This window comes from Homo sapiens, chromosome 11 (assembly GCF_000001405.40).
Source record: "Homo sapiens chromosome 11, GRCh38.p14 Primary Assembly".
Lineage (NCBI taxonomy): Eukaryota > Metazoa > Chordata > Mammalia > Primates > Hominidae > Homo > Homo sapiens.
The window spans coordinates 128,376,017-128,388,684 of record NC_000011.10 but is presented as its reverse complement, the minus strand read 5'-3'; positions in this window follow the sequence as shown (position 1 = coordinate 128,388,684).

Sequence of the window (12,668 nt, the reverse complement as noted above, 5' to 3'; positions counted from 1 at the left end):
TGGGGCCAAGTGGCTTGCCATTAGGCTGAATAGATAGGGGAAGGGGAGAAAGCAGTAAAACCTTGCAGTTGTCCAAACCTCTATTCAGTGGGAGTTCCCGCTGTCTGATGTTGCTGGTGGTGCCTATCAGGGCAGGGCGTGCTGAGCTCGGATCACTTTTCACTTTATGAGCTGGTTTTCTCATTCCAGGGGGCTATGGGAAAATATTGCCATATCACAGAGATCAAAAACATGGTGCTGCAGATAAGGAGGGTAGGGTGACTGCAGGTAAGCAGTAAGGGTCACTGAGATAGGTCTCTATTCCACAGCAAAGCTAAACAATTCAGACTTTCACACCCACTAAATCAAACCCAAACAAGACTATAAAATGGGAGGGAGGGGCAGCTGGAAGGGAATTCTGTGCCCAATGTACACAAATACAGCTGGGCGAGAATGACTGCACAGGACACATTTGCTTTAATATTATTGCTCCTCTAGTCATTGTGCATATCTGTGGAAAATTTCGCCCTATTTGTGAGATTTAGGATGTAAGCACCAGAATATATCGGTTGCTGTGAGACCATACATGTTTTTGTTTGTTTACCCTATAGACATTTATTGAGTGTCTATTATGTGCTAGGCCTGTATACATATACATTGATCATTGTATGTGGGCTATGGACTCTGTTCTTATGAATCTTGCAGTCTACTGGAAAGAGAGAAAACAAAGAAGCAAGTTAAATAAGTAGAAAGATGGAAAAAAAGTGTCTTCTATTGAAAATATTCAGATGGGTAAAGATAAGGAACTTCAGAGCACCAAAGTATAGCATAGCTGATGTTCTCTCTAGAAAGGGGCCTTTTCTTGCATTAGAAGTAAGGTTACGATAAAAAAAAAACACATAAACAAAAACCCAGGGTATAACAAGCTGGGACCAGGGCTGGGGGCTGCTTTTAAGAAGATGATTTCTTCCACCTGAAGATGAGAATACATAGAGCAGCATAACTGTGCTTATAAAGAGAATGGTACAGGGTATTTGACAGCACATACTCTCTAGAAAACACAGCTTTACTGAGTTAATGCATCCACAGGAATAAATGAGGGGGGTTGCAGAGAAGTTGTACTGGGGAGTGGTTAGCTCTTCAGGCAAGCCTGGGTCTTTTTTGTCTCTTCGGAGTCAGAAATATTTGAGTTCCAATCAGTCTCCTGCTTTCCAGTTGTGTGAATGTGAATATGTTTAATCTCTATAAGCCTTGGCTTTGTCATCTGTAACATAAAGATATTCAACCTTTTAGGTTGTTCAGTTCCATTATTATGTAACATATCTAGCACAGCATCTGGCATAGAATATGTGTGTCACAGATTGGAACCATTTCAGCCTATATCCCTGGAGAAGCAGTGGGTGACAGGTAGGGGTGGAAGAGTTAGGCATCAGGAACAGCACAAGGGGAGCAGGAAGTAGAATGACATTTTAAAAATGAGAACTGGGGTGGGGGGGTGGGAACAAAAGACACAAAAACCTGTTTGCTGGCTGAGAAGCAAGGGTGAATCTTCCAATTGTCAGGATCCTTCTCTAAGGGACATTGCTTTATGTAGCAGTATGTTTGCTCTTCCTGAAAGTAAAGTGGATTGGCCTCTTAGGATCTCTAAGCAAATTGAGCCCCAAATGCTTGGTCCTATTTGTTAGCACAGTGGAAGGTTATGTTATTGCATAACCATGGTTGTATGTGTGTACATAAAGACACACATGTAGATCAATCCCAAATTTATGTAGTGCATTTTCATGGATCGGCAATTACTCTTCTGCGTGAGTCACTGTTCATTTAGTAGGATCTCTCCCTCTCTCTCTCTTTCTTTCTCTCTCTTTCCCTCTCTCTCTGTTTGTGTGTTTGCGTGTGTGTGTGTCTACACTTGCCAGAAAACAATGCGTTAGAATTCTGGTTTAAAGAGTTGGAATCTTTTGTTTATTTTTTATTTTTTAAATTTTTGGTAAATTCTCTTTCAGGTAAGTACCTGGTCTCCCAAGATTCCCTTTCTCTTTTGTGCTTCTCCTCCAGGTGGTGTATGGAAATGCTTATGTGACCTCATAGTGGTGGGGAAAAAAAGAGCCTCAGGTCTCCCTTTTGGCCTTGATTCTTGCTGTTCTGTTTTGTGAAGAGGCTGGTTTGCACAGGTCAGGCTTGTTGTCTACATGGACTGATGTTCACTGAGGCAAGCCTGGTTCTTTTTGTCTCCTGAGGCTTTGTTCCGGCTCCCGTTGCAAGTCTATAATGCCAGCCATCGGCTCTGGTTGTACTGTCCACTTGTTAGGGGTGAGAAGCTCATATTCTTCCACTTCCTCACCACTCTCCTCCTGGAACATGTGGTCCTCAAGATTTCTGCATTCTACACACACGTTCTGGAAAGGGCCAGAGTACTGCCTCAGAGCCCACCTTTCTAGCCACCTGCCTCCTCCAATGCTGTGCTCTGTCCCTCTCTCTCCTGTGCCACCTTGGATGTGACCTTGAGCTGACTTCTCAAAGAGCAGTGGTTCTTGACTTTGGTGCCATATTGGAATCCGCTGAGCAGTGGTTCTTGACTTTGGCGCCATATTGGAATCCACTGAGATGGCTTTTTTTCCAAATAGTGATGCCTGAATCCTGTGTCCAGACATCATGCTGTAAGTGGTCTGGGCACATAGAGACAATTCGGGGAGCCCAAAATGCCCCAGAGACTTGCAGTCTCCCACGGACTAGGGGATGGGTCATTAGCCCTTGCATTTTGGAGTCTGTGTTACCATCCAGATGTCCCCAATAGGGCCCAATCTACTGCTCAAGGTTCCGCACCCATGGCAGGGAGTGGAAATTAGGACACAGACTGCAACTTCTTGATCCCACATCTCCTGTTTCTTCTCTAAAACCAGAAAGGAAGGGATTTGTACTTTGCTTTGCTTTTCTCTCTACCAGACTTCCCTTTCATCAACACACCTTGAGTTCTTCACCCTTGGCTTTTGGTAACTTTAATATTTAAGTTGCTTGGGTACTGATGTATCAGTGGAAGCTTAAAAATTTAGAAGAAAATTTGTTTTTTCTCATAACTAAAAAATTCCATTCTGGACTTCAAAAGCTAAATCATTTTTCTTGATATTTCTGCTATAGAAATTCTAAACCTTCTTAAGAGAAATGAATGAAAATAAAAGCAGAAAGAGGAGTCAATTTTATGTGTGCATATATGTGTATATATATATACGTGTGTATTGTGATGGTGAATCCTGAGTGTCAGCTTGATTGTATTGAAGGTTACAAAGTATTGATCTTTGGTATGTGTGTGAGGGCATTGCCAAAGGAGATTAACATTTGAGTCAGTGGGCTGGGAAAGGTGGACCCACCCTTAATCTGGTTGGGCACAATCTCATCAGCTGCCAGCACATCTAGAATATAAGCAGGCAGAAAAATATAAAAACAGAGACTGGCCTAGCCTCTCAGCCTACATCTTTCTCCTGTACTGGATGCTTCCTGCCCTTGAACATTGGATTCCAAATCCTTCAGTTTTTCGGACTGGTTCTCCTTGCTCCTCAGCCTGCAGATGGCCTATTGTGGGACCTTGTGATCATGTGAGTATTTAATACATTCCTATATATATATATATATATATATATATATATATATATTCCATTAATTCTGTCCTTTAGACATATATGCCACACACAGCACATTTCTAAATAATATTTCATTGAATCCCAACAAATTTATGTAAAGTAACTTCTTTTATTTGGAGAAGAGAAAACTGAAACACAGAATCTAGGTGACTTTGTTCAAGGTCACTGATACATAAACTGGAAGAGAATTTAAAACAAATGTGTGTATGCATGGATGCATGTGTTTCAGTGTGTCTGTGTCTCCATAGTGTAGGTCAAACAATAGTAGAATAAAATCATTAAATAAAAATACCCTAGCCTATATTTTTTTTGAGGGGGGAGTAGTTGAGAAGAATGATTGATACAGTTATAGGAATTTAGTAAAGGCCCTAATACAAATGACAATCATACACCCAAGCTCAGTCTAAAATAGACATCAGAGTGGATTACAGAAGGGGTTCAGTGAATAATAAACAGCTAGGACCATGAAAATAATCCAGACTTAACAACTGCCTGAAGCTTTACATTAAAGGAAACTTTTTAGCATAAGGAGAAATATCTAAACAAGTAAGGCTAACTATTGGTTGCAGTCAAGATTCTTTCTCCAGCCTGGATAAATGAAATGGAGAACACAAAACGAATTGATATAATTTGTGTTCCACCAGCTTTTTATAGTGTTTTTGAGTGAACTATCTCATTAAATCTTCATAGCGTTCTTCTGAGAAAGTTAATATCATTATTATCTTCATTCTGTTTTTGAGAAAATTGAGGCTCATATAGCTTGAAATGCATTGCAAAAGATCAGTCAGCCAGTAAGCAGAGCTGGAACTAAAATCCAAACTTTTTTTTTTTTTTGACACTCCATGTTCTTTACAGTGCACTATAGTGCTGTGCCTTTAAAAACATTCTTTACCAAAGAGAGATTTTTCAAGCAGGCCGTATGTTTTACATATGGTTGTATGCCCTATGGCCACCACATTGCCCAGAACCTAGTACATTGTTGATGTTACATAGCTTTTGAAAAATAAATGAATTAAGGGAGGCAAGGAAAGACTTCTATTCAAAGACGAAGGCCTAACTGCATGGGTTTATCTATTTTGTTTCTTCAGAGCACATTAAACTTGTGATAAAATAGTAATAATAATAAAGAGAACAGGAGAAGGGCTATAGGGGATTTTGACAAATTTCTAGAAGATGAAAACTATAATATACTGAGGGATAAATAATGAAGTCAGGGATGGGCGCTGCAGCTTATCGCATTGATGGATGATAATGCACTAGGACACCAGGATGAAGTCGTCAGCCATTTGGATCACAGAAAGTCTCAGGTGTTGGAAGTGTGGTGGAAGAATGTGAAACAGAGGCTACAGAGAAACTAATTTGTAGTTTATATACATAACAACCTCTTTTCTTCCCAAGTAAATGCAGTCTGAAGAAACCAGATGTTTGCCTCCCTCGGAAAACAAACCAATGGTGGAGGCATTCTTTTGTAAAGAAATTTGATTTTCCTACTGCAGGGGTTCTTAGCTTTGGCATGTTTGGCATTTTGGGCTGCCAATTCTGTGCTGTTGAGGGATGTTCTGTGTACTTAGGATGTTTAGAAGCACCCTTGGCCTCATTCCCTACATGCCAGTGGTATCCCCTCTTCCTCAGATGCAATAAATAAAAATATCTCCAGATATTGCCAAATGTCCTCTGGAAGACAAAATGACCCCTGGTTGAGCCACTATCTTAGAGAAACGAGTTCCACACCCTTTCATTTAGGAGACCTCCAGTATAATGTCCAGTCTGTGCATGAGTACCTTAAGCAAAGTTCAATAGTATTGAGTATCCAATCAATTTCTAATGTCTGTATTATTAAACATGAACAAACAGAAACATTTGAGAAAATACAAGATAATACAAGAACCAGTGCGATGATAAGGGAAAATAATCGAAGAATAAAAAACGCATTACTTAGAAATATAATTTTGTGATAGCACAATCGCGTGGGTAGAGTCAATAATAACTTAACTGTACATTTAAAAATAACTAAAGGAGTGTAATAGGATTGTTTGTAACACAAAGGTTAAATGCCTGAGAGGATGGATACACTGTTCTCTATGATGTGATTGTATCACATTGCATGCCTGATTCAAACCATTTCATGTACTCCATAAATATATACACCTAATATGTACACACAAAAATTAAAGAAAATAAAAAATGTCATATTTATAAAATATATAAATACTTTTCTATAACACATTGGAAAGTAAAGTCTATGAGACCAAGAATGTTTAATTAATATGTAAAGTTATAGAAAATATGAGAACAAAATGTATAGACATAGCTGATTAATCTAGGAAGTCAAATATCTGATTAACACGTTTCCAGAAAGAGAGAAGTGCATACAAAGAATTCATTTAAAACAAGGCACAGTGGCTCATGCCTGTAATCCTAATGCTTTGAGAGGCCTAGGTGGGAGGGCTCTTGAGGTCAGGAGTTCAAGACCAACTTGGCCTACATAGTGAGATCTCATCTCTATGAAAAAATTAAGAATAATAAATAAAAATAAAAAATTAGCAGGGTGTGGTGGCACATACGTGTAGTCCTACCTACTTGGGAGGGTAAGGCAGGAGGATCTCTTGAGCCCAGGAGGTTGAGGCTGCAGTGAGCTGTGAGCACACCACTGCACTCCAGTCTGGGCAACAGAGAGAGAACCTTTCTCTAAAACAAATAAAAAACAACAACAAAACCTTATTAATTTAACTATCTAAAAGAAACAAGTAAATTATAATGATATCTGTATGTCTCACACAATGAATGAAAAAATGCCATAGTTAAACATATGGTCAATTCACAGAATACCAAGAAAAAAGAGAAGATTCTAAAAGCCCACTGAAAAAGAAAGAGACACACAGAGAGAGAGGTGGTGGTGGGGAACAGGAGAAAAGACATTGGAGCATTAGCATTATATTTTTTAGGAAAAATGAGTTTTCAACCTAGAATTCTATACCCAACTACACTATCACTAAATTGTTATGGTAAAATAAGGACTTTTTTTTTTTCCTTATAAGGACTCAGAAAATTCACTTTATACACTTATTTTAGAAAGCTTCCTGAAGAAATGCCTATGTTAGATAAAATGACTCAATGCAACAGTAGAGAGCTATAACTCAACTGGTTTACACAGAAAGACAGCGATTATCTCAAATAACAAGAAGTCTAGAATGGACAGCTATAATGTTGACTCAATTATGTTACCAACATTTTAAGTTCTTCCTGCTTTGCTTTTCTGTTGTTCTTGGTGAGTTGCATCATTCTTGAGATAGCTCTCTTTGCATTGGAGGATTACTTGTATAACCAGATATCATGTACAGATAAGAAAATGACCAGAGGAATAAAGGACATTCTCTTTTTGTGAATTTTTTAAATCAAAGACTTCACCAGAGGTTCCATGACAAAATTTCCCTTTCATTGTCTAAAATTGACAATATGTCCACTTTTCAACCCATCAGTAGGAAGGGAAACGTTGACACAATTGACTTGGTGAAGTTCAAGATCATTAACATAGGGTGGTATACCAGAATGAAAAGTAGGATATGTTAGAAAGAAAGAGGGATGTGTGTTTGCTGCAATGCTGCAACAAACCAGGGATCAAACCAACAAAGAGGATATAGGATCTAGATATGGTGGAACTGACCCAGGAAAAGAATAACAATTCCCAGGAAGATGAATGCACATGGCCTGAAGGCACAGCTGTCGATTAGAGCAGAAGGACAAAGGGGCCTAGGCAGGAGAATTGACGTAAAAAGAGAGTGGGAAGGATTTTTGATATAAAATTCTAAAGTGTGATAAAGGCAAAATTTTAAAAAACTGGCATCTAGAAATCTCAGAAAAAGGATAGAGCATTATAAGAAAGAACTGTAATCATGAAAACACTACGTTACTCTGCTTTGTGCAATACTGACACAGTCAAAATAACAGGGATAGGGTTAGTTGACTTTCAACTTCTATAATCAGCTCAGTGATGCAAGCTGGCTATGGAATAAAATGTACCTTCCCTCCTCTGTGACAATATAAAAGAAGTGCGCATGTGAGAAATTGGGAGGTAGCAGGTGGTGCGGTGGGGAGAGCTGAGAGTAGAAAGAAAAGACAGGGATGCTAAAAGATGTTGCCTTTAGTTGGTAAAACAAGAAACAAAAGTATGATAATAAGTAATTACAAAAGATTAAAGAATAAATGACATAATTTTTATTTACTACGAGATTGGGTTTAGGGTGAGTTTGTGTGAACTAAATCTTAATCTATCATAGTGGGGATTCAAAAGATAATGTATAAAATGAATAAATTAAAAGTGCAGGCAAAAACATGCATTGTCTAGAAAGATGGCACTAACTCCCAGAAAAATAGCCCAAAGAGTTAAAAGAGTTTTCTCTGGGGAGGGGAAGGGGAAGAGGGAAGGGACAGAGGCCTTTCATGTATAAGCCCTTTTTATTATTCTTTATTTCAACCATGTGCACACATATTATTTGATAATTGAAAATATATTGTAAAAAATAATTTATTTTTACTTTCTATCCTCATAATGCAAACGTATTTTATATTATTAATTTTCCACTTACAGCTTTAACAAAAACATTTTCCTTGACAGTACATGGCCTTTATGATGATTCATTTATATGATGATGTAATATTTTGTATGGTTTCTCTGGCAGTCCTGATCCATTCATATTCCTTCTCTCAGTTTTCCTGTGTCTATGAATACCTGAAAGAAGTGGTTGAAGCTTGGGGGAGCAGTCTATGGCCAAAGAAGGACATTGTTTTTCTCTTTTTTTTCTCTGAAAATAGCTAAATATTGACCTGGGCCTCATTAGCACTGTGCATTAACCAAGTTCAAAGCACCAGGCAGAGCTGTGTAGAGGTCTCGCTTACTGCAGCAGCCCCTGGGTGGTGCACACACACCCTGAGACCTACAAGGTTAGAGACAGTTGCATCCCAGCCTGGACAGCATCAACCCAAGGCTGCCCTTTGCACTGACACTGCTCCCAAGTTCATTTGAAATGGGGACTGCCAGAAAGACAAGTCTTCATTTGCAAAGCAAGAGCATGGTTTTAATTATCCTTTAGATCCATAAAAAAGCAAGGGGGGTGGGGATAGATTTATGGCTTTAAATTCTCTTCTTTGCCATTTATAAAACAGTATTTATCAGGTGTGGGGCACATGGCAGCTCTGGGGAGTGCCAGACGGGGATCAAAAGCAAAGCATAAAAACCTTCCCCTTTCAACATACCTAATCTCTTCCTTCTATCTATAAATGGCCACATTTACCTCCTGGCTCAGAAAAGTGATTCATTCTGGCACTTTGCTGTTTGAGGTATCAAGAGTGAGTAAGAGTGTGCAGGGTCTGTACTAACTGCCCTTTGATGTTTCCTTCAGAAGAACAGAAAGATGGCCAACAGCCCCTGGTGGGTGTTGGCACTGCCATTGCCTTGGAGAGTGTCCCTTTCACAGGGAGACATTTGCATCCTTCTACTAGAGCATCATATAGGAACACAGCTGGAGAAATAGTAATAAATCATTCATCTTTTCAGTGCTGTTTAGTTATCTCCTATATACCCCCGACACTGCCAGGTCATAGTAGATTCCAATGAAGTGTAAGATATGATACCTTACTTCAGAAAGCATCAATGTTTGTTGACAAGAAAATCTTGTACGTAGTAGAGTCGTAGATTATTAAAACAAGTTTTGGTGGTGTTGAGTTTTGGGAACAGATGATCATTGGTAGGGCTTCAGATTGACTTGGGTTTTCCCAGAAGGTATGATGTGGGCTAAGCTTTGAACAATGGCTTTACGGACTGAATGTTTCTGCCCCTCTCCCTGCCATTCCTATTTCTAGAGTTGAAGCCCTAACCCTAAGCATGGCTGTATTTGGAGATGGGGCCTTTAAGGAAGCAACTAAGATTAAATGAGGTCATAAAGATGGGGTCCTGATCTGATATGATTAGTGTCCTTGTAAGAAGATATACCAGAGGGAGACCTCCCTCTTCCTCTCTGCCATGTGAGGACATAGCAAGAAGGTGGCCATCTACAAGCCAGGAAAAGAGCCCTCACCAGAAACTGAATTTACCACAACTTGATTCCAGACTTCCAGCCTCCAGAACTGTGAGAAAATATTCTGTTGTTTAAGTCACCTCATCTGTGGCATTTTGTCGTGGCAGCCAGGGCTGACCAATACAGATTGGTAGGATTTCAATAGAAAGAAAAAGAGAGAGCATTCAAGATGGGTAAAATACAAACACAAGCCTGAGACCAGCATAAACATGGCATGGGTGAGGGACAAGAGGAGAGGGTACATGTTAGAATTGCGTACTGGGCCAGTGGTTTCTGGGTGTGGTATGTCCCATTCTTCTGAATTGTGGCTTGTTGACCAATAAAAACCTGTAAAGGGCAGATTTAGGAAGCATAAATACATTTGCTTCTAGAAAACAAAGCAAATTTATTTGAGTTCTTTGTAGATTCCGGATATCAGCCTTTTGTCAGATGAGTAGATTGCAAAAATTTTCTCCCATTCTGTAGGTTGCCTGTTCACTCTGATGGTAGTCTCTTTTGCTGTGCAGAAGCTCTTTAGTTTAATTAGATCCCATTTGTCAATTTTGGCTTTTGTTGCCATTGCTTTTGGTGTTTGAGACATGAAGTCCTTGCCCATGCCTATGTCCTGAATGGTATTGCCTAGATTTTCTTCTAGGGTTTTTATGGTTTTAGGTCTAACATTTAAGTCTTTAATCCATCTTGAATTAATTTTTGTATAAGGTATAAGGAAGGGATCCATCTTCAGTTTTCTACATATGGCTAGCCAGTTTTCCCAGCACCATTTATTAAATAGGGAATCCTTTCCCCATTTCTTGTTTTTGTCAGGTTTGTCAAAGATCAGATGGTTGTAGATGTGTGGTATTACTTCTGAGGGCTCTGTTCTGTTCCATTGGTCTATATCTCTGTTTTGGTGCCAGTACCATGCTGTTTTGGTTACTGTAGCCTTGTAGTATAGTTTGAAGTCAGGTAGCATGATGCCTCCAGCTTTGTTCTTTTTGCTTAGGATTGACTTGGCAATGCGGGCTCTTTTTTGGTTCCATATGAACTTTAAAGTAGCTTTTTCCAATTCTGTGAAGAAAGTCATTGGTAGCTTGATGGGGACAAACAACCCCATCAAAAAGTGGATGAAGGATATGAACAGACACTTCTCAAAAGAAGTCATTTATGCAGCCAACAGACACATAAAAAATGCTCATCATCACTGGCCATCAGAGATATGCAAATCAAAACCACAATGAGATACCATCTCACACCACTTAGAATGGCGATCATTAAAAATACAGGAAACAACAGGTGCTGGAGAGGATGTGGAGAAATAGGAACAGTTTTACACTGTTGGTGGGACTGTAAACTGGTTCAACCATTGTGGAAGACAGTGTGGTGATTCCTCAAGGATCTAGAACTAGAAATACCATTTGACCCAGCCATCCCATTACTGGGTATATACCCAAAGGATTATAAATCATGCTGCTATAAAGACACATGCACACGTATGTTTATTGCAGCACTATTCACAATGGCAAAGACTTGGAACCAATCCAAATGTCCATCAATGATAGACAGGATTAAGAAAATGTGGCACATATACACCATGGAATACTATGCAGCCATAAAAAAGGATGAGTTCATGTCCTTTGTAGGGATAGGGATGAAGCTGGAAACCATCATTCTCAGCAAACTATCAGAAGGACAAAAAAAAAAACAAACAAAAAAGCAAAGTATCCCAAGGACAAAAAGAACACCACATGTTCTCACTCATAGGTGGGAATTGAACAATGAGAACACTTGGACACAGGGTGGGGAACATCACACACTGGGGCCTGTCGTGGGGTGGGGGACAGGGGGAGGGATAGCATTAGGAGATATACCTAATGTAAATGACGAGTTAATGGGTGCAGCACACCAACATGGCACATGTATACATATGTAACAAACCTGCACGTTGTGCACATGTACCCTAGAACTTGAAGTGTAATAAAAAATAATAATAAAAATAAATAAAAAATAAAATAAAATAAACCACAAAAAAGAAAAAAAGAAAACAAAACAGTTTTCCTTAATTCTTCTTCTTCCATTTCTAGGAGATATTTTATTTTACCCCTTTATGCAATTAGAGATATACCTTCCCTGAATTAGAGTATCACATTGTAATATCTTAGAAGTGTAGAAATCCTGAGGTTATCTAAAATGCAAATTTCATTAAAGTAGGATTTTTTGTTGGTTTTATTTACTGCTGAATCCTTAAGGTCTAGCAGACTGCCTGGCGAGTAAGAGCTTACTAGACCTTAGTAAGGGCTCAGTGAGTACTTGAAGAAATAACTAAAGGAAAGCCTGGCTTCCGACACAATTAAGAAATATCTGGCTCCTGTGCTGGGACTCAGTTTTCAGTCTTGACTTTAAAGCTTATCAGTTTGGGACATATCATCACTTGTAACTCAGCTTTCCTATCTTTAAAATAGAAGATATTAAAACATAATTCACTTATCCCAAAAAATTGTAAGGATTAGTTATCCTTCAATGTATTATAATTTATTTAATTACTGTGTATTAGACTTTGAGAATATTATGTGGATTTATCCTTCAAAGAACTTAGAGTCTAATGGAGAAAGCAGAAACAAACAAACAAAAAACAATTGTAGAGCCATGTGGTAGCTGCTATGGCAGTGACATTTTTGTCCTGCTATGAATATTCTCTACACAGCAGACAGAGTAGTGAGCCTTCCAAAATCTAAATCTGATCATGTACTTCCACTGCTCAAAGTTCTCCACTGTTTCCTTTATCTTTAGAACAAAAATGCAAACTTCCTTCCTTGGCATGACATGCTCTGCCTACTCAGATTATATCTCCCACCGTGGTCTGTTATATTCATGGCTCTCAGCCATACTAGCCTGTGTTGCTTTCTGAAGATACTAAGCATTTTATTGCCTTGAGGCTTTTTTTTTTTTTTTTTTTGGCAACTGTTACCATTACCTGAAATTCTCTTCCTATGACTACCTGTGA